Below are 23,944 nucleotides of genomic sequence, written 5' to 3'. Positions count from 1 at the left end.
GTTGTTCTTCTCACGTCCTTCCATATAAACTAGAGCCCTTAGACTGGGCCTTTTCACCTTTCCTTTTCTCCTCTTTAAACTATTCCTCCTAAAACAAATACTGGTGGAAGCTAATTGTTCTAGGGTTGATGGAGAAGCTTCAATACGACCAACTTATTCTGTTTTTTTTCTTCCCTCTCTCCCCTCTTTGCTCTTCTTCCCCATGTCTAGTCTCTCTATCTGTGCACTCCTTTTAAAAAAAATCTTTAAGATACTCCACGTCTTCAACCCTTAGATATTGATCTCCTTTTGCCTTTTCAATATCTCTTTATTCATGCATAGCTCTCTGCCTTAAATATATAAAACTCAGTTTTATTGATTTTTTTTCTGTTTTACAATGTTTCCCACTCTACCAATAAATAAATTTCTTATTCCTTTAGTGCCAAATTTCTCAAGAAAGTTGACTTCATCTCCTTACTCACCTCCTTTTGATTTCAATTAAAGTTGGCTATCACTGCTTTCTTCCTAACTGCAAAATCAAATAGTCTTGGCATCATCTTAATTCTCCTTTTATCATGGTAGCACTCAACTTCTCAACCAAAGCCTTTATCAGCAAGGTCACTGATAGGCTGTAAGTTGATAGCCTGCCCTATTTTTTCCCCCATTTTATCATTTCTGCCAACTCCTTAACTTTTTTTTTTTCATTGATTCTTTTCTTAGTCTCTCATCTGTGAAATAAGATGGGATCTGTTTGTTACCTTGGAGGTAATCACTGTAGGATAGTTTGTTTATTTAGTAGGAATACTGCTAATAATACTGCATTTCTGAGCTTGTTTTCTCCTTGTAATTTGTCACTATCATTAAAAAAACACAAAATTTCTTGCTTGACACCATTGTTATTCAAACATTCATAGTAAATTACTGATGAATAGTTTTTGATGTGGTGGGAAGAGTACTGGATTAGAATGTTAAAGATCTTGGTGGTGAAGAACAGGTAACTTAGCCTCATTTACCTTGAGTTTCCTTACCTGTAAATGAGGATTATCATGTCTGCCCTCCCTTATTGTCATGTTTATTTCAATCTATAATCTCTTCTTACTGGGAACCAATATTAAGTAGATCCATATATTACCAAAGTTGTCCTTTACTTTTCTTTTTTTATAGAGGGCATAGATTTTGCCTCTGCTATGAGAAGGAAATAACTACCATTTCCTTGCCTTAAGAAAGAAGTCGCTGGGCGTGGTGGCAGGTGTTTGTAGCTCTACAGGCTGAGGTGAAAGGATCACTTGAGTCCAGGAGTTCGAGGCTGCAGTGTGCCATGACTGCACCACTGTACTCCAGCAGGGGCAACAGAGAGACCGTGTTTCAAAAGATAGAAAGAGAAAGGAAGAGGAGGAAGAGAGGAAGGAAGGGAGACAGGAAGGAAGGAAGAAAGAAAGACTATGGGGTTTGTCATAATATCTACCATTTTTTTAATAACTTAGGATAAATTTAATTTATTCAGTTCTTCAGTGCCATAAAGACTATGTCTTCTTTCTTTTTTAGTTTGGCCTTCTTTCCTTCCTTCAAAATTGGAACTTGCTTTAGTCGACTATTCATATTTAAATCTGAAAGAAAGAAAAAGAGAGACAGAGGAAAAGACAAAGATTTTTTTTTTTTTTTTTTTGGTGTTCTGTTGTATTCATTCCTGCTCTGCCATTTAATAAATGTTATACCCAGCTTGGACAATAAGGAGGAGATATTTAAGTTGGGAGACATTTAGTAAGAAGGAGTCATTTAGATTGGACTTGCAAGAATCAGTACAATACCAGCTGGTGGAGTATGTGAGCATTTCAGGCAAAGGACAAAATCTGAGCAAAGGAATTGAATTGGGAAGGTGTAAAGTAAACACAAGGGAGAGTGACTGGCCATGTCTGGCAGGAACCTATGGTAAATTAGAGTGGTTGGGCCAAATCTGCTTTAGAAAGGTAGATCCTAGATTCTGTGATTTGGGAAACACCCCAGAGATCATGTGGATCAATTTCTACTCTTGATGCTTGAATTAACCCTATAATATTTCTTCAGAGTTGTTACTGAGTAAATTTAAACCTATGATGACAGAAAACTTACCAGTGACTATGAGAATTTTCTTTTCTACATTGAGCATAAATCTATCTTCTTTTCATCCATTGGTCTTAATATGCTAGTCTGGGCCATACTGAAAAAGGTAAAATACCATTCTTCTTGATCATTCTTAATATATGTAAAAGGCATCTTGGGTCATTCTAAATCTTCTCACTTTCAAGCCAAATAGTATTCCTTTATTCAATAATATTTCATATAATATGAAATAGATTTCATTTCTTCCGCTCAATGTTATGCTCCCTCTCCCAAGGCTGTTCCCCAGTTGTTCTGTCCTAAAAGATGATATCTAGTACAGAATGAAATACTCACTGTATTAGTCCATTCTCACATTGCTACAAAGAACTACCTGAGAGTAGGTAGTTTATAAAGAAAATAAGTTTTTAATTGACTCACAGTACCACAGGCTGTGCAGGTGGCATGACAATCATGGCAGAAGGCAAAGGGGAAGCAAGCACATCTTCACATGGCAGCAGAGGAGAAAGAGAGTTAAGAGGGAGGGGCCGCACACCTTTAAACCATCAGGATGCATGAGAACTCACTCACTATCATGAGAACAGCAAGGGGATAATCCGCCCCCATGATCCAATCACCTCTCACCACATTCCTTCCCCAACATTGGGGATTACAATTCAACATGAGATTTGGGTGAGGATGCAGAGCCAAACCATATCACTCACTATGAATCCTGACCAAATGGAATAAAATAATACTGTACTATTTGTCTCCTGGAGATCATCTTTTTAAAATTGCTTCTGAAATCTTTTTCTTCAAACAAATAGAAGTCCCTTCACAGTGATGATGACCTCTCTTGTTTGTTGTTTATGCTCAGCCTCTTTTGATTCAGATTGAGTTTATTGTCATGTATATATTATGTCTCCAAAAATATTAGCGATTTATTTTTGCAGTTGCTAAGTCGGTTTTTTCTCTCCACTCCTTTCCATCTCCCCTAATCTTCTCGTTGTGAATTTAATTATTTTGAATTCAAAGGATTGTTTATTTTCTGGAAAAAATGGAAATATTTTATGGAGAATATTTAGTGAAAGTATAAGTTTGCACTTAGTTAAGTAGACAGTGATACTCCACTGAAAATTTTTGACATGATCCAAATTCTCTTTAAGGAGACTAATCATGCAGCCACAAATAGAACAGATTAAAATGGGAAGAAACAGGAATGCAGTTTGGAGAAGATTTCAATTGCCTCCTGGAGTGGTGTCAAAGAAAATGGAGAAGGGTATTAAGCATGGTGAAAGAAGCTGAAGAACTTATTAATGATTACCATGAAAGAGCTGAGAAAAGTAAAGTTCCCTGTAAGGTTTCAACCTGTAGTGACTGGGAGAATGGTAAAACCAAGAGAGATGTTGCTTTGGAAAGAGGGGGCAGTTGGGACATTTTGAGTTTGAATGTCAGGTATACGGATGTAAAAATGGCTGTGTGGATGGTTAGAAATGATAGGATGGATCTCAGGAAAGAGATAGGGACTAGAAACATAGATATGTGTCTTATTTACACAGAAGATTATTGGTTAGAGATTTTCAAGAGGTCAGTAATGTAAGATACAGGGAAAAAAACAGTCAATGCTTTGGCGGTTTAGAAATCTCTGTGGTCAGAAAAGTAGGATAACTTGGAGAGCACAGAAGTACAGGAGTCAGGAGAGTGAAGTGTTTGTTTTTGAATGAGTCATCTCCATTCACCATCCCCAAACTATAATCTCCCCTCTCGCTTTCTTGAATAACCAGCTGCCTGCCCTTACAGATATTGAAACTGATTTCTCAGAAAACAACTTACTGTCTGTCTCCTTTGCTTTTTCTTGTTGTCTTCTAACTGCAAGAACACCCCAAAGCTCTGTCCCTGCTTCAATCATCTGCATAAATTGGGAAAATGCTAAAACTTTACCCCAACCTCTTTCATTAGTTCGAGACCTGTATTTACAGGCTAAGTGCCATAAAATCAACTTGGATGTCTCTCATGTTTTGTTTTTTTGTTTGTTTGTCAGGTTCTTTTAATTCTATTTTTTTTATGAGATGGGGTCTCACTGTGTTGCCCAGGCTTGTCTCAAAATCCTGGGTTCAAGCCATCCATCTGCCTCAGGCTTCTAAACTTCTGGGATTACAGGAGTGAGTCACTGTGCTCAGCCAGTCTCTCATGTTTGCATCTCACACACAAAGTATTCTAAATAGGATCCATAATCTTCCAGGACAATCTCATTATTGGCTCAGGAACACTCCAAGATGTCCACATTGTAAACCTCCAACATAGCTTTGATTTGTTCTTCTCTTGCCCCTTACTGTTGAGAAATAAAAAAAGAATCCTAAGCCCTCAACTGACTGAACAGATCCCCTCTTGGCCAAGGGGACCCCAGAGAAACCTTGGAAGCTGAGTTCCCAGCCATGTCAGGATGAGAGGTTCGACACACCTCATTATAACCACCTCCCTCCTTAACCACCATTAGACTTTTTATCTTAAGGGCTAAACAGAATCCAGCCCTTTCAAAAAACTCCACACTGTTAATATCTATTACTAGCTTATCTTCCCAGTACAAAACAAAGACAAGATGAGATTAGTCATTTTTTCACCCCTTCCTGAGACATCTGCTTCCTCTATTCCCCTTGTCTTCAAAGATTCACCTTACTCTATGTGAAATGAAAATTTGGGCACTAACTAAAACCTCACAAATATGTAATCATTGTCTCATTGTTGCCCTTACTTTTAAGGAAAATGTGTAGATACTAAACCTCCTGAGAACCTATTTGGAAAAAATAGTCACAGATATGTCTGTGATCCACCATTTTTTCTGGGTGCACCCTCAAGCTGGCTCAATACAGCTCGATTGATTGGGACATCTGCCTCAGTCACTCATTTTAGTTGTCACTATCATCCATTTCTTTTTTATTTCTTTTTTCTTTTTATTTTATCATTATTATTATTTTTGAGATGAAGTGTAGCTCTGTCGCCTAGGCTGGAGTGCAGTGGTGCGGTCTCAGCTCACTGCAACTCCCTCTTCCCGGGTTCAAGCAATTCTTCTGCCTCAATCTCCTGAGTAGCTGGGATTACAGGAGCCTGCCATCATGCCTGGCTAATTTTTGTATTTTTAGTAGAGGGGGGTTTCACCTTGTTGGCCAGGCTGGTCTGGAGCTCTTGACCTTAAGTAATCTGCCAGCCTCAGCCTTCCAAAGTGCTGGGATTACACTACCCTCCATTTCTAAGGCCAAATCTTATCAATTTTACCCACAAAACATATTCCAGATCCATACCTTCAGCGTTATATTTTTCACAACTACCATCATTTTTATTCAAGACCTCATTGTTATTTTACAAGTGGTATAGGTTGTGCATTCCTAATTCAAAAATTCAAAATTCAAATTTTCAAAAATTCCAAAGTTTTTGAGTACCAACATGACATTGTAAGTGGAAAATTTCACACACAAGTACTTAACACAAATGTTGTTTTGTGAACAAAATTATTTAAAATATTGCATAAAATTACCTTCAGTCTCTGTATATAAGGTGTATATGAAACATAAATTAATTTTTTTTTTTGAGTTGGAGTTTCACTCTTGCCACCCAGGCTGAAGTGCAGTGGCACCATCTCGGCTCACTGCAACCTCCACCTCCCGGGTTCAAGTGATTCTCCTGTCTCAGCCTCCCAAGTCGCTGGGATTACAGGCACCTGCCACCATGCCAGGGTAACTTTTTATATTTTTAGTAGAGACGGCATTTCGCCATGTGGAGCAGGCTGGTCTTGAACTCCTGACCTCAGGTGATCCACCCGCCTCAGCCTCCCAAAGTGCTGGGATTATAGGCGTGAGCCACCGCGCCTGGCCAACATAAATTAATTTTATGCCTAGACTTGTATCCCCTCCCCAAGATATCTCATTATGTATATGCAAATATTCCAAAATCTGAAAAAAATTCAAAATCTGAAACACTTCTGGTCCCAAGCATTTTGAATAAGAGACACTCAACCTGCATTATTCTTCTAGATGGACTTCTCACATCTAACCATTCTCATCTCTAATTTGTCTTTATAGACTGCTGCCAAATTAATCTTTCTAAAGTACAATTTAAATCATGTAATTCTCCTACCCCAAAATGTTTAATCGCTTTTTATTACCCATTGACTAAGATCCAAACTCCTTAAAATAACATTTAACACCATCACCATCTGGTGATGTCCCATATTTCTAGATCTATCTCCCATTTCTCCCTTTCAAAGATCCAATACCGCATTTAAACTACAACATGTCCTTCTCTTGTCTGCCTCAATCTCTTCATTCATTCCACTGTTTTTGCCAGTAATGTCCTTTCTTCTCACTCTTCTTTGTGAAGCCTTTTTTGATTGTCCCAGCAGAAAATATTAATAATATATAATTCAAAATAATACATAATATATAATATATAAAAATAATATATAATGGGCTAATACATTAAATGTGTTACATGCATTGTCATGCTAAATCCTCACAATAACTGCATCACATATCTATTATTTTCTATATTTTAACAATGAATAAGCTACTGTTTACATGGGTTTGTTTATTCAGCCAACAGTATCATAACTTGTAGCTTTCCACAGTAATCTAATCTCAAAGTCAGTGTTCTTAACCTTAATTCAAATATTTTTAATTTTATCTTTACCCCTTAATGAAGAACAATGAGTTTCTTGGCTTTTCTGAAGCCATAGTAACAGGGCTTCAGTAATTTGAATTTTATTTGAATTCAAATAAAGGAGAGTTTATTCCCCTGACAAAATGGAAATACTTTGTGGGGAATATTTTAAATATATTAAAAATTTTAAATATTTTAAACGTATTAAAATACAAAAATTTTAATAATGACATTAGACACTAATAAAAATGTCTTTTTTCTTAGTCGTAGTTTATTGACATAACTTACATATGGTAAAATCCATGCTTTTTAGTGTACAGTTCTATTAATTTGGTCTTTCTAACTTATTTCTATGCTCTCTTTTTAGAAGCAGATAATTTACTTTTGCAGTTCCTTTTCATATGATTTAGTTGCTATAAATTTTGGCTTTCCTTTTATGCTACCATTTCTTTGGAAATGCAGCATGCTATCAATATTGTTTTTAGTAATTCTCTGACTCTTCTTTATGAACTCAAGCTTGTTCATAGAATAAGGAGTTTAGAGTTTGTTCATGGAAGGAGATGTCTATAATTATAGCCAGAATTTATAGATTTTCTTCCATTAGAGCTTTTCTATTAGTGTGCTAAACCTAATGAAATGTATATTCTTGAAAATTATTTTCTACATCTTTATTTAATAGATGTATAGGATTTATAGGATTAGTAGCCAAAAAATGTGGAAAATGTGCCTTCTCAAGTGATAATTGAATGCAATAAAAGAAAATAATATAAGAATGGAATCTACTTTATCAGAAGCTATATTTCTGCTAAGCCTATAAAATTAATTGATTTGTTCATTCCTTCATTGAATAAGCTTCATTTATTGAGCCTCTACTGATGTGAAACATTCCCTTAAGCAGCTTACCATCTAATAGGTATAATCAATTAATGTTGTATACAGTAGGAAAAGGAAATTTCCATGGTGATAATCACCTTATCAATAGTTAATGGCTAAGTTATTTAAGTATGGAGTCACCAAATGATAGAGGAGTCTTTATGATTTTTACTAACTTTTAGGAAGAGTTAACACAATAATATCTGGCATGTTACTAATGTTCAGCAGCAATGAAATAATAATTAGGTTTCAAGCCAAGAATGATTTCAAAGCTTCATAATATTAGGTCAGTCAGTGCACTAGAAATAAGAGGACTCTTTTTATATAAAATCAAGAGTCCTTCAGTATTGTGAAGCAAAAGAAAAAGTATTTTCCTTGTGGGCTTTTAAAGATAAGATAAAGCCCTTTTAAAAGCTTTATCATGAAGTTCTAACAAAAGTTTTACTTGCCAGTATAGTCATAAATACATAATCTTGTTTTGGATCTCTGTTTTATTATGAAACTTTTAATGGAACAAACAACAACATGTACAGGCATATCTAGTCATATTGTATTCCTCATTAATTGTACAGGCACAATTTTTGAACTTTCAAAAGGAAGTGTAAGAAACCTGTTTTATAGCCCTTTCATCACTCCAGGATCACAGTTCCATAGCTTCTCCTCCAGCCCTATATGCGCTGCCTATCCATGCTAGGATTAATCCTTATACCTCTGAATAATCTGAATCAGCACTTGAACTTTCTCGCCCTGGCATGCCTTGGAGAAGCTGAATGAATTGTTCCCATTACTCTGTCTGTCACCTTCCTCTCTCCCATCCTCAGCTCCCATAACAAGTCATTAAGAGGGTTAAATGAATTGTAATGTCCAGTGATTACTATAAAAAACCCCTAACACATATCAATAATAGGTCTCATGACAACATATATGTCACAGAATTCAGTGGAAGAAAAGTTCTCTCGTGCGCTCCACCTGCTAACCAGCATTACCAAAATTACTGTTTTAATAAGTAGGTAAATATCCTATTTTTAAAGATTTTTTGCAAGTACGAAGTGTCACATTTCCACCCTAACAATCTGAATTTTCACACCCCACAGATATTTGTACATATATCTGTGATATATACATTCAAATGCATAGCTAAAATATTCAAATGTACATAATAAGTCTAAGCAAGAACTTCTTCGTTCTGACCTAAAAGTACCTCATTAGCACAAATGTCCAAGATAGACAGCCCCAAGTACACTAAGGTCCAAGGGCATGAAAGAGCCCTCACTTTTGTAGACTAACAAACAGATTCATGCAAATTAGTGTGTGAACTTGAAGATATTATCCTGCCAAACTGATTGGTACAGACATACTGCCAAGGGGAAAACACCAGCTAGGCAGTATTATGATTACTGTTATAATTATTGCCAAAACCATAAGACCTTAAAGTTTTCTGGATGAAAGGCTTGCAAGGGAAAAGCAATCTATCCTAGGGTTCGCTCTGTGGACTTGAAATTACTTTTCAACCTTTTCTTCTTATTTATCCAACTCATTTCAAAAGATGAAACACCTATTCCAAGGTGAGGAAAGAGGCTTCTGGGGAAAAGAAAAAATAAATTCTTTAGGATGGTCTTATTATTTTCTGTTCATTCTCCCGATTCTTTTTCTCCCCTTCCTGCCTATTTCCCTGGTTTTAATTTGTCTTACTCTGTTTCTGTCCTTTCGCCCTCAATTTTTCAGAATGTTCTGCATCTTTTCTCTATGTCTCATCTTCCAACCTCTCAGAAGTATTGTCATTAATCAGTTATATATTCAGTCTGTTCTTTTGCTGCTACTCCTTTAAAACATCCTTATGAATATTACTTTGGAGAATTCATGGTACACATTATTGTCACTGAAGGGGTGACAGTATAATATATGCATTTGAAATTAGGCAGTATGATGTGACGTTAAAAAGTAACATTTTGGACCCCAACTGGTGTGCATTTGAACCCAAGAACTGCCATTTACTAGCAGTGATAAGCCTAGTTCTTTCACTTTGCTGAGCCTTACCCCAGAAGATCTTATGATTAATAATATCTAGCTCACTAGTTGTTGAGGATTAATAAAGATAATAATATTAATAAAACACTGAGTAAAATGTCAGAAACATGAGAGCATTTAAAACAAACGAATGATACCAAGATGGTGGTGAAGGTAGTAGCAGTGGTGGAAGCAGCTGTAATTGTGGTGATTATAGACATGAGCTTTCAAAGAATTTTTTCGCCAGAAGGGTGGGTCACCTTCATCCATTTGGATTGCAAGTCTGTGACAAACATCATGTATTTAAAAGCAGAGGAAGAAGTGCTCTGCTGTATCAATTGTACTTCAATATGAAGGTTATGATCAGGCTTAAATCTCTTCATGTTCCTAGAGACAGATTCACTTCACACACACATACCAAACTCTAAATGCTACTCTGCCCTGCCTACTCTTTTTCCAACTATTATTGTAAAATTATTCGTACATTCAAAAGAATACTTAAACATACATGTGAGGGGAAGTGGTGAAAAATGGCCAAACAGAAGCCTTCACCAATCGTCCTCTCCGCAGAAATGTCATATTTAACAACTATCCACACATGAAAGCACCTTTATAAGAACCAACAATCAGATGAGCAATCACAGTACCTGGTTTTATCCTCATATCACTGAAAGAGGCACTGAAGCGGGTAGGAAAGGCATTCTTGACTTGCGACACAACCCCTGACAGTGGTTGTGTGGGTCAGAGAATCTGTGTGCTTAGGGGAAGGTGAGCTCAGTGATTGTAGGTCTTTGCATTGGAACTCAGTGCTGCTTTTCACTGCAGAAAGCAAGACTGGGTAGACCCCAGCCAGTGCTGCTGGAGGGAGCATTTAGGTCAGTCCTAGCCAGAGGGGAATTGCCCATCCCAGTGGTCAGAACCTGAGTTCCAACAAGCCTTGCCATTGCAGACCAAGGCACTCTGAGGTCCTAAATAAACTGGAAAGGCAGTCTAGGCCACAAGGACTGCAATTCCCTGGCAAGTCCTGGTGCTGTGCTAAGCTCAGACCCACTGAACTTGGAAGACAAGAGACCTAGTGAAACATCAGCTGGGGTGGCCAAAGGAGTTCTTGCACCATCCCTCCCCAAACCCCAGGCAGTGCAGCTCACAGCTCTGGGAGAGACTCCTTCCCTCTGTTGAGGAGAGAAGAGGGAAGAGTAAAGAGAACTTTGTCTTGCAACTTGGGTATCAGCTCAATCACAGTAGGATAGAATATCAGGTAGAGTTCCGAGGTCCCCATTCCAGGTCCTACCTTCTGGATGACATGTCTAGACACACCCTGAGCCAGAAGAGAACCTGCTGCTTTGAAGGAAAGGACCCAGTCCTAGCAGGATTTATCACTTTCTGACTAAAGAGCACTTGGACCCTCAATAATCAGCAGCAATACCCAGATAGTAATTGCCGTGGACCTTGGTTGTGACTCACAGGCGAGCTCACTTCAGGTGTAACTCAGCCACATTCCCAGCTGTGGTGGCTATAGGGAGGGAATCCTTCTGCTTGAGAAAAGGAGAAGGAAGAGGGACTTTGTCTTGCAGCTTAGACACCAGCTAGGCCACAGTGCAGTAGAGCACCAAGCAGGCTCTTGGGGTTCCTTATTCCAGGACATGGCTCTTGGATGGTATTTCTGGACCTGCTTTGGGCTGGAAGGGGGCCAGATTCCCTGAAGGGAGAGTCTCAGGCCTGGCAGCATTCACCACAAGTTGACTGAAGAGCCCATGGGCCTTGAGTGAACATCAATGGTAGCCAGGCAGTACTCACTGTGGGCCTAGGATGGTGGTGGTCACAGGGAGGGACTCCTCTGCTTGGGAAAAAGGGAGGTGATGTGGTTTGGCTCTGTGTCTCCACCCAAATCTCATCTTGTAGCTCCCATAATTCCCACATGTTGTGGGAGGAATCCAGTGGGAGATGGTTGAATGATGGGGGTAGGCCTTTCCCATGCTGTTCTCGTGATAGTGAGTGAGTCTCATGAGATCTAATGGTTTTAAAAATGGGAGTTTCCCTACACAGGCTCTCTCTTTGCCTGCTGCCATCCACATAAAATGTGACTTGCTCCTCCTTGCCTTCCACCATGATTGTGAGGCCTCCCCAGCCACGTCAAAATATAAATCCATTAAACCTCTTTCTTTTGTAAATTTCCCAGTCTCAAGCATGTCTTTATCAGCAGTATGAAAATGGACTAATACAGTAAATACCAGGAGTGGGGTGCTGCTGAAAAGATAAATGGAAATGTGGAAGCGACTTTGGAACTGGGTAACAGGCAGAGGTTGGAACAGTTTGGAGGGCTCAGAAAAAGAAAGGAAAATGTAGGGAAGTTTGGAACTCTCTAGAGACTTGTCAAATGGCTTTGACCAAAATGTTGATAATAATATGGACAATGAAATCCAGCCTGAGGTGGTCTCAAATGGAGATAAGGAACTTCTTGGGAACTGGTGCAATGGTGACTCTTGTTATGTTTTAGCAAAGAAATTGGCAGCATTTAGCCCCTGCCCTAGAGATTTGTGGAACTTTGAACTTGAGAAAGATGATTTAAGGTAGCTAGTGGAAGAAATTTCTAAGCAGCAAAGCATTCAAGAGGTGACTTGGGTGCTGTTAAAGGCACTTGGTTTTAAAAGGGAAACAGACCATGAAAGTTTGGAAAATTTGCAGCCTGACAATGCGATAGAAAAGAAAAACCCATTTTCTGACGAGAAATTCAAGCTGGCTGCAGAAATTTGCATAAGTAATGAGGAGCACCTAGATTAAGAAAAATAGAACCTTACCTATATCTTTAAAGTTCTGGTTATGCCCTTCCCTGGTTTCATCCCCTTCCCCTTCCTTCAGGATGCCACCAGGGAGGGGCATAAACAGAATTTCAAAGATATTGATAAGGTTCTATTTTATTAATCACTATCCTGAAATTTAGGCTTATTATTGCATTGCTTTTACTTATAAATTGCCTATATGTATGTATCCTCCAAATAATAAATTGTTTAAATTTTCTTGTTGTTGTATTTTTATTCAACATTATGCTTATGGATCATATTATGCTTATGGTTTCTTCAGAGGTTGAGTTTATTCCTAGCTCCATATTAGTAGTTCATTGGATAAAAACATAATGAAATTAACTATTCTTCCATCCATGGATTTGGTTATTCCAATATTTGGTCTTAGAACCATGGTGTTATGAACATTTTTTTTGTTTCCTGATGCATGTAAGGATAAAGTTCTTCAAGGCATATACTTAAGGCAGAAAACTGTGGGACTACAGAATTTGCACACTTTTAACTTTATGGAAGGTCAAATCTTTTTCTAATGTGGTTATATTGGTTAAGATTTGTTTAGGCTGCTGTGGCTAATAAAAATTTCAGAATCACAGGAGTTTAAATAAAATAGTCATACATTTCTATCTCAGGTTCAAGAAGCCTGGAGGTGGTTATTCCAGAGATGGTAAGGCACTCCACAGTGTCGAGATCAAGGCTTCATGTACTGTATAGGTTAACTTGTATGAACAATTTTCATTCCCAAATTTATCTGTCAAGATCGAAAATGGTTTCTGGAACTCCAGCCAGTGTATCCACATTTTGGCTGGCAACAGGAGAAAGACCCAATAGGTGCATAGTCCCTTCCTTAAAGATGTACAGAACACTTTTATTTTCATCCTATTGGTCAGAATTTACATGGCCATATGGTTACATTTGCCCCACATGGCAAACTGGGAAATGTAGTTTTCTGCCAGTTTGCCATGGAGCCAGCTAACAATAGAGAAATCTTATTACTGAGAAAGAAGAGAAAGACCAATATTAGCAGATAACTAGCAGCTTCTGCCACAGTGGTTCTACTAATTTATATTAATTTATACATACATACAACTAAAGATAATTTGTATTTCTCTACATACTTTCCACACTCAAAACTATCAGCCTTTTAAAGGTTTGTCAAAATGCTATTTATAAAATATTATGCCATCTTAAAAACTTGTATGCCTTTGATTAATAATAAAGTTTCATCTTTTCATAATTATTATTTTAATTTTTAAATAAGCTACCTGTTTATATTTTTCATTTTTGTGTTGTTTGTCTTTCTTTTTTGGACTTTAAGAGTTTTGTATTCATATAGAAAATAACCCTTTACCAGTTATATAAACTGCAAAAAAAAAAAAAACCTAAAATACAAAAATCTTCTAGTTGGTATCATAGCTTTTTATTTTTTCAATTACTGTTTGATGAAAAGAGATATTTTGCTTAATTTACTTGAATTTATTAATCTGTTCTATTATGACTTAAACTTTTTGTATCTTATTTGAGAAATCCTTCTTCACCCCATGGTTATAAGATATTCCTATGATTTCTTCTAAAAGTTTTGATTTTTTTTTGCATTTCAATGAGTTAGAATTGATATTTTCTGTACATTTTGAGTAAGATTACAATTTCATTTGTTTCCCCTGGAAAATTAAAAACTAATAGTCTCAGCACAATTGTTATAGTTTAAATGTTTACCACTTATCTGAAATGCCAACTCTGTAATATTCATATTTCCTTTCTTTGTAGATATCTGTTTCTGGGAAGTAGTAATCTATTTCTATGTCTATTTATACTTTCTTTGTATATATCAAATATATACTTGCCTAATATTTATAAGTAGGTATGCTATTTAATAAATCAGGACCCTCTCTCATATCGTATTTTTTGCCATCAGGTATTTCTTAGTTACTGTATGCTCTTTGTTCATGCACATAAATTTTAGAATCACTTTTTCAAGTTCAACAGTAATTTAAAAGGTCACACATTAAATCTGTTGGTCAATTTGAGAATAACTGATATCTTAATAATATTAGGTATTCTTACTCATGAATATGGTACAATTTTCATTTGTGGAGGTCTTCTTTAATGGCTTTCAATAATGTTTTGTGATTTTATGCCTAAAGATTCAGCATATAGTTTTTTAGATTTATCTCTACATTTGGTATAATATTGTTACTATTGTTAATGTTACCTTTTTAGAAATATCCCCATTCAAGCTAAGTTTTTGCTGCTATCTAGAAATGCGTTTGATTTTTGTTTCTTCATTCTGTATTCACCCAATTTTCTAAACTGTCTAAATCCCAAAAATGTATGGAATTTTTTGTGTTTTTATATAGACAATTTTATCATCTGCGCATAATGAATGTTTTGTTTCTTTCCTGCTAGTTTTTGTACTTCTTTTTCTTCTTGTCCTATACTACTGGTTGGAAACACCAGCCAAATGCTGAATAGAAGTAGTGATAGAGGGCATTCTTGAACCATTCTAATTTTAAAAGAAATGCTTACTAACACTTCACCATTGAGAGTAATTTTCATGTAAGTAAATTAGGTACCTACATGGATGTACTTCTGTATATATGACTATTGCTGCATTTATATAGTGACAGCTGCACTGTACCATAACTCATTTTCTCAACTAATATTAATTGATTAATCATCATGCCCAAAGCTTACTCTAGTTGATATGTGAGATTCAAACATGAGTAAGACACATATCCTACTCCTAAATAGTTTACCACCTATAAAAGGTGATGATAACTATTTAAAACCAAATAAAATAAAACACCAAAAATAAGTGCCATAAGAGTACAAACAGGATACAATAAAAGCTATTAAGAACAGGGCAAAAACTGTCAATTGAACACTATCAGGAAAACTCTAGTAATTGAGATGGCATTTAAACTAACACTAAAGAAGGCTGGGTGATGTGGCTTACACCTGTAATCACAGCACTTTGGGAGGCTGAAATGGAAGAATCACTTGAGCTCAGTAGTTCAAGAACAGCCTGGGCAACATAGGGAGACTCTATCTCTACAAAAAATAAAAAAATAGCCAGGTGTGGTGGTGTGAGCCCGTGGTCCCAGCTATTTGGGAGGCTGAGGTGGGAGGACTGCTTGAGCCCAAGAGGGCAAGGCTGCAGTGAGCTGTGATTGTGCCACTGCACTCCAGCCTGGGCAACACAGCAAGACCCCATCTCAAAAATAAATAAATAAACCAACATTAAAGAATGGATAGAGTCTTAATTGGAAAAATCATTCTGGGTATAGAGACGGCAAGAACTAAAGCTTCTACCTCTTATGTCTGTATTCTAAGTGAAGTTAAAACCCTCTTACACCGATTTCAAGTAGTCATACCCGCCATTCCCTCAGCCAAATTCAATCACATACTGGAGTCACATCTAATGGTCAGAGTTTTGTCTTAGCATGATCTATCCCCTCATTCAAGCACATGGGTAATGGGATGGGTTCTTCAACTGACCACAAACAGGATTATCCTGCTTGATTACCTCCCTTAATAACCAGAGTACAATACTTTCAAACTTCTTTTAACTGCCTCCAAATTCAAATATACTCTCAGAGAACAATTTGTCACCTCTGAGAAGATTCAAAAGAATAAATAAGCATGTGAAGGCAATTCTCAAAGGATTCCCTAATTTGGGGTCATAGTAGTAGCATTAGAACAAGTGTACAAATTTACACAATGGCAGTTTTGAAGCAACCAATCATTTGGATTAATTATGGTACATGTGTTAAAATTCTAATCACATTATTTAGTAGTTGTACTTATATATGATTTCTGGACCCCTTGTTACAACGAAACATGGAGATCCTGTGGTCCCACACAATCAAGTTGTTCAGAAACTTTTAGGACAGAAAATCAGAAGAAGAAAATTGAGGAAAAAAAACCATTTAAATATATAAATAACCTGAACCCTTCTCTCATCCTATCGCTCAGTAGTAAGTTGGTCCCTGGCTAATGTATTACTCATAATTTATTGCAAATTTATTAAACCTCAGTAGCTCAGAACATAGTAGCTTATGGATGATCCCCTAATTAGTGGAATTAGAGGATGATACTGTTTCCTTTGATTAATTGGCACATGTGGAGACTGGGTGCCCTCTGAGGCCTATCATTTGCATATTAAGTTACCACATATCAATGTGCTGAAATCCAAAGGGCTGGGGGCTCCATCTACCCATGCGAAGGCAATGTCCTGTGGATCTAATTAAATCACTATGCTCTTGGCCCTTTCCCTTTTCTACTCACTTTGGCACAATTTTCCAAGGAGTAACCTAAAAGTTGAAAAGTGAATAAACAGCTTATGTATATGTAGCAATTTACCACTTAGAGATTCCTTTCACATATATTATCCTGTTTAACTCTCTCACAACCCTCTTGAGCATACACAGTTTTATTCCCGTTTTGCAAATAGATAGTGAGATTGATAGGCCTCCCTATTTACAAGGTAGTAATTGATCAAGCTGGGACTCACACCTGGATCTTCGTTCTCCAAGGTCAGAGCACTCTTCACTATGCCACGGTGTGTCATTAGAGAATTATCTCAAATTGTATAATAAAAGACATGAAGAAAATGTTCCTCTTCCAACACTGGCCCTGTTTTGTATAAAGTACTATCATACTCATTGCCTCTAGAGAAAGCAGTCAGTTCAATGGAATTAGTAAAAACAGAGCCTAAGCACATGAAAGAAAAAAATGGTGGTCAGTGACAGCCAGCATGCAGGAGATAGTAACTTCTATAATTCTTCATCCCAGGATTTCTAGCCGAGACTGAATGGCCATTTGATTGCAGTTCTAATTCAAACGTCAGCTGTGCAGTTGGGCAAGTCGATCATTAAGGTCTCTTTACTGTTTATGTGATTTTGAAGAAAAAATAGCAGACCACTTTGCTGGGTCAAGAAAATGTGCAGGCCAGTGCCTTTGCTGGTCATTTGTCAGAGTCTGGACACAAGTAAGGGTGTTATTTTAGACAACAGGTAGTTCCAGGACCCAAAAGCCATGCAGCTATCTTTTAGGCACCTGTCACAAAGCATATTTTCTCTGCCGGATAGAAGTAAGAGAGTATATTTGAAAGGATTTAATAAAGGTTCTGAAGGACCCTCTTGGTATAAATGCTGATTATTGTTGTCAGCGTTATTTAAGAGCAGCAGGAGGGAGGCATTTCAAATAGAAGTTTAGCTTCTATTCCCAGAAGCCCCACCAGATCCAGAATTACTGTGGTCTTTAAGCAATCTGTGAAACTGGCCTCTCAGAAGAGAGTGGAGGAAGGAGGCTGAACTGCCCCACGTGGTGTTCTCATTGCCGCCTCAGGGAATTGATTGGGGAACTGTTTTTCAGTTTAGTTACTGAGTCATTTTTCATTTTGTTCTTAGTGCCAGAGGCTTATGCCCTTCATTGGCAGCACTGGGAAGAAGGCTAGATCAGCTTCCCTAGTGGTGACATACACTGTGAATATGCTTCAAGCCAGATTTGTCTAAGAGGGGAAAAAAACAAACACAAAAACTTATGCTTTTCTTCGTGCTTCTTGCTACGAATTCTAAAGGAAGCCCCAGACCTAAAGTTGTAGCTCATCCTGGGAGAAGAGGAGAATTGGCAGTGTCCTCCAGTTTCTCCATAAGATAAAATTGTGTGAATGTGGCCAGCTTGCTATGATTTGGTGCTTCCTAACTCATCTCCCACTGTCTCTTCTGACTTTAGGAGGCTGGAAAACACATCTGCATAGAAATGACAATATGAGAAGATCTTATGAGAAAAACCCTGCTTGCTTAATGTTGCTTAATGTCCTATATCTAGCTTTTCTCCACTTCCACTCCTCTCTCAGCTTCTCCCAGTCCCTCTGAAATAGCATTTGCCTCTTGGTGATGCCAGCTCCCTTACCTCGTTAAGCTGCTGCTGAAAAGCAGACCCGGGGATTGATGGCAGACAGGTTTAATGTGGCTTGCACAGAGCAGTCAAGTTGGGCGTGTGGGAGGATGCTGGGGAGATATTACTGCAGGCGCAGGCACACCAGCTGACTGAAGTTGCTGTGAACTGACAGCTAATGGGGGAGCTTTCTTTGATAGCTGTTTCATTTTGACTGTGCTGGATTTTTAAAGAAAGTTCTCCATGGGGAAAAAAATTAACGATTTTTTTTTGTTTGCCTTTTATTAACAGTTGATTTCAGAGTATTCCAGGGGCATTATTTTGGCAGGCATTTTATTATCTGATATAAACCTGAATTGATAACTCTTTAAGTCCTTCTTGTAGGTGGTGAATATGCCAGGTTCCACAGTGCAAGTGGAAAGCCATGCCAACCATGTGCTAGAGAGGCCATTACAATTGCTCAGAAAGGATAGCAGTGGTGGGGAGCATCAGATGAAACACTGGCGGAAAAAATTAACATGCTGACTTGGGGGATGCCTAAAAGATGACAACATGCATCAGTAGAATTTTACTTAGGAAAAAAGAAGAGCAGAAATGGAGTTTCAAAGGAGTACCAGGCCCTGGTGTGTTTTCTCTGCATTTGGATTGGTAGAGAAAAGCCTGTTCTCTGAATTAAACTAAAATTTGAAATCTCCAAGGCTGACATGACAAAATAGCGCAGACTGGGTGGCTTAAACAACAATGTATTTCCTCACATTTCTGGAAGCTAACTCTGCTTCACACCTCTTCCCTTGGCTTGTAGGTTGTTCTGTGTTTTCATATTATTCGTCTTCTGTAGGCATTGTGTCCAAACCTCCTCTTTCTATAAGGAAACTAGTTATATTGGATTAGGGCTCACCCTAATGGCTTCATTTTAACTTAACCTCTTTACACACCTCACTTCCAAATGCAGCCACATTCTGAGGTACTAAGGGTTGGGACTTTAGCATATGAACTTGGGGTGCAGGGGACACAATTCAGCTCATAAGAGTAAGGGACACAAATCTTCAGTTTGGTATAAGGGATGTTCACCAGTCAGCATGGCGTAGACCCCAAGACACCATCTCCCCATGGACTCTCTCTATATTCCCTTTGCCACCAGAACATTTTATATTCCCTTTACATGAGTTGGGGGGCCTGCCATTCACATTCAGATCATCGAAATCCCATGCCATTCTACCTAAATTGCAAACTAGAAAAAGGCAATAAATCCAAACTTTGGAATAGATCTAACAATAATAGCAAAAATAATAGTAATAGTGATGATAAAATTATAACAGCAGCTACCTTTTAGTGAGTGTTTAGTGTGTGCCAGTCTCAATGTCAAGCACATCCATATATTACTTCATTTAGGCCTCATTACAAACCTGTGAGATAGGCACAGTTACTGTAGATAGGGAAACTGAAGCACAGGGAGGCTAAGCAGGTTATCTGAGGTCACAAGGCTAGTTAGATGCAAAGTAAGATTATTCTTATAACCAACACACATGCTCCGAACTACTACATTTTATTGTATAAAAGCAACCATTTCCTAAATCAGGCTTTTAAAAGTGTCTTTCAGTTATAAAATCCTCAATTTTTCCAACCAAAGTTTTATATTAAACTCTTATACAGCACAGATTTACAACATATAAGAAAAGAAGAGGGGTACTGAACCTTCCCTATGCAGCCTCTTCACTTTCCTCTTCTTGGTGGATCCACCAATTTGAAAACCACCACCCTAAATCATGCCTAAAATTTTGGACCTTTAGACTCTATGCCTTGAATGCATTGAGCTCTGTCTCCTTACAAACCTGATACTGCTGTGTCTCACAAGAAAAAATCTCAGGCTAAAATCCACAGTAACTTGCCCAATGTACTGAAGGAAGCCCTTAGTGGCATCTAGTAACAGTGAGAAAAGAAATATCTAGGTCTTATTAAGAACATAGAATATTGCAGATTATTGCTAAAGAGGATAGAAACATCTAGATCAGGAGACAAATCTATAATTTGTGTCCTAACTATAGGGTATGGTTTGCTGAGGAAGGAGAAGGAACTGACATTTATTAGGCACTCCTCCCTCTAGGCACAATTCTGGGGCTCTGCAAGATCCTTATTTATTTTTTACCATAGCCTATGGGTGGCCTACAGTCCTCCTGGCCCCACGTCTACCGGCTTCTCCTGACATTGAATGCCCAGAAACAGATCTCATTCAAGGGGGAAAGTTGTATCATTTGGAGACAATTTTTTTTAAGTGCTTAACGCTTCACTTGCTGAATCCTGTGCAGAAAAACAGCCTTTACATCTACTTGCCTGGAGAAATGAATCCTGCCACAGAATGTTATCTTCTCATCCTCTCTGCCATATGTTCAAGCAATCTGTGTTTCAGTCTATATTAATACACTGAGTCAGAGGCAGTGGGGTTCAGTGGGCTAAGCAACAGCCTGGAAAATTGAGGGGTGTGAGTTCTAATTCCATCCTTTCCTCTCGCTTGCTGGCTGACCTTCGGGCAAGTTATATCAACCTCATATCAACCTCCATTTTCTCCTCATTTCTCACACAGGATTTATAATGTCTGAGCAAACTGAAGAAAAATACTAAGAATATTGGCATAGAATTTCACAAGCATCTTTGAAACGTTTACAATTCAAAACCTCTACTTAAAAACACAGTTGTAAGGCTGTCAAAGAGCCTTAAATAAATGATCTTTACCCTATAGTTATTTGTAATCTAGCTGGAAAATTAAGCATATATTTGGAAAATTTGTCAAAATTAGCATCTCAATAATTATAGATAGACATTTTCCCTTAAAAGTTCAAGTTATATTAATCTTGATTAAGAAATTCAAGTTATATTAGTCACAATTAAAAGGGCATCAAAATAGGCACTTTGCAACCCCTATACCAATGTTTTTATGTGACACCTCAAGTCCTTCCTAAAATGAGCCAAACTATGTGCGTATGTATGTGTGTGTGCATATATGAATAGATTTTTTTAATGTAAGTATGCTCATCTAAAAAATAAAACAGGCTCACAACTAGTTATGACTACATTCCTGACAAGAGTGGGATTTTTTATATCCCCTTTCATTTGGGGCCAGAAAACCTTCCACCTCTCTTACTCCACTCCTGGGAAACCTGAGCAGCAAACACCTAGAAATGTTGGATAAAAAATAGAGGTGGTATACAGCTAGTAGACAAAAAGCCTCTACAACAAGGTGATAACTCACCTTTGGAAATCCTATGGTTTGAGAAGAGCATGTTTTGGAAAGCTCTTCTGGATAAGTGGGTCATCATATCTTCCAAGAAAGGTACAAAATGGTCTTGCTGTATACACTAAAACTACAATAATGGTACCAGAGCTTTGAGATGGAAGCAAGAGAATCATTACATTCATTGAAATTATACCATGCGGGCATTTGAGGCTGATGTGGAAGATACAAATTTCCTAGCTCCTTTGTCTCAGCTCAAAGCATACAATGGTGACATACTTATCATAGATAGCAAGAATACTGATGAATTAGCTGTTGTCCTAATGTCCCTTTGAGGATCATGTGGTTCCATTAGGTTGCCACAGCTGCACTGGGGTTTAGGTCTTCTCAAATAAGAGATTAAAAAAAAAATAGGTGATGGGGCCTCAGGCTGGTCAGGATGAAGTTTGGGGCAAGGACAGTATTGAAAGACATCATTAAATATTAGTATATGGCCACAACGTGCTTATAAGAGTTTCCGAAACAAACAGGCTCTGTTTTTCAACACGAGCCATTTGTGTAGTGGCTTTAGCCCTTGGAGATGGATGTGGTATGAAAGGGACTTCTACATCTATAATCAGAGGGGCTTCCTGAGTGTCTGATGTAAGTTTTGACCTCTATGGGTACTTGATTTCTTCAAATGAAAATGCCAGGATTCTCATGCCTATCATGGATATCTTTACTACATAAATTATTCAGTTAATTTGAGTTAAATTCATAAGATATTCACAAAGAGGAGTGGAGATAGAATCAGAGTACTTTCATTAAAAATGTGACAAATATAAAACTTTGAGGTATTAGTTTGACCATAAATCATTGTTGGGGTTTACTAAATGGGTCCTCACAAAAAGTCAAAGAAAAGCTAGATTTCAGGTTCTTGAAGCCTTCTGGCACCTGAAGAATGTTGGAATGACTTCTTCAAGAAGCCTGTAAGGGGAGATTAGGGCTGAAGAGATGAAGATCCTAAATCCAAGAAACCCTTGAACACCTTAACATGCTAGGTTATATACAATAAATCCTCATTTAAGATTGTTGATATTGAGGACTTTTGATATGCTGATATCTCTTATTTGGAAATAGTTAAAGAATTATAAAATTTTAACTATATAAGCTTCCAATTTTTTCTCTCCTTTGTTGCCTTTTGGATTTTTATCTTGAAAATAAACTGACATAAACCTAAATCCAAATCTTTAGTGAATTATTTTCTAGGTGATAAGTAAACTTGTCTCAGCTCTCAGGGAGGACATCTTTAAAACATGAGTATCTTCTACCAAAGAATAGTCTGAACTAAGAATAGAGGTGGGCAACCAACCAGATGTTAAAAGTCAGTTGAAGTCCATGGTACAGAAGGAGTGGATTTAATAGGGGTAGATTCTCAGTTGTGTCAATCTGCCATGTCAGAGTTTTTCTCCTCTATGGGGATTAAGGTCACTGAGAAGTGACTAGATGGACTACAACTGGAACTTCTCTCTTCTATAATTGTTTGGTCAAAGTGATGCACAGCTGCTCATTCCTGGATGGGAGGCCTACGAGATCAGATCTGTCTTGCAGAACTCTGTATATGCAGGTTCAGGTCCCAGCCTGATAACCTCAGATACCCTAGTGCTTTCCCAAGTCTTCGTCTCTGGTCAGACTGTAAGTTTCCCTTTACAGCTATATGGAGATAATAATCATGGGAGAGCACACAAGCTCTAAAAGTTATCATAAAGAATAGTATGTCTCTAGGTGAAGTTTTGAGCAAAGAGGTAAATCATGGTCGTCTACAGTTGAACTGAGTCACATTCTGAACTGGTAAGCCTCTTCTAGGGCTCAGTTAAAGTTTTTATCCTTGGCAATAGCTTGAATTTTCTATAAAAACTCTTTTAAAAAAATGCCTGATGCTGGCCTAATGAGGGCTTTGGGAGTTTATTCATAGGACTTCACTCCTTTCATCTGCCCAAATGTTTAAATGAGGGATACCAATGACCTTCTCAGGACCAATAGCATTCATGTTAGAGATTTTTGTTGGAGGCAACTCTAAAGACTCATGAGCTCCCTGCCCAGCTAAGCAGGTAGGGTGTGGGTGCTGTAAGAATAGCAACTAGAGAGGTTTTCTTTTGCTGCTGTCTATTAAAAGTACCTGGGTAATTCTGACTAAAAGTTTTATCTGATAACACACAGGGCACACACACACAACTACCTGCTGGGCTAGCAGACCCTTCTTTACCCATCAGCAGTTAATACAATGGCTTGTTTAAATACCTGTCTCCTACATCCAGTTATAAGTTCCCTAAGAAGAAGTACCATGCTGATTTTGTGTATGGTTATATCCCTAGCACTTAGTACAGTGTCTAGCATACAGTAGGTGCTTAATAAATATTTGGAAAGGAATGAATGAAGTCTAATACCA

The 23,944-nt window shown here is 37.8% G+C and overlaps 1 protein-coding gene and 2 long non-coding RNA genes across 8 annotated transcripts in view; 1 reads left to right on the top strand and 2 right to left on the bottom strand.

Annotated features, from left to right (window-relative positions):
- The window catches only part of LOC124906269 (uncharacterized), a 277,601-nt gene that overhangs the window by 89,327 nt on the left and 164,330 nt on the right, over positions 1-23,944 (bottom strand). The window lies entirely within an intron of this gene.
- LSAMP (limbic system associated membrane protein) overlaps positions 1-23,944 on the top strand; it is a 643,114-nt gene that overhangs the window by 466,113 nt on the left and 153,057 nt on the right. The gene's annotated exons all lie outside the window — the stretch shown is intronic.
- Positions 1,428-18,493, bottom strand: LOC107986116 (uncharacterized). Its single transcript, XR_001740859.3, has 2 exons — positions 18,303-18,493; positions 1,428-1,586 (listed from the first exon to the last, which is right to left on the bottom strand). It is a non-coding gene; the product is annotated as an uncharacterized LOC107986116 (long non-coding RNA).

The sequence above is a fragment of the Homo sapiens genome, chromosome 3 (assembly GCF_000001405.40).
Source record: "Homo sapiens chromosome 3, GRCh38.p14 Primary Assembly".
Lineage (NCBI taxonomy): Eukaryota > Metazoa > Chordata > Mammalia > Primates > Hominidae > Homo > Homo sapiens.
Note: the sequence above shows the minus strand (reverse complement) of the source record. Positions and strands in the feature narration are given on the sequence as shown.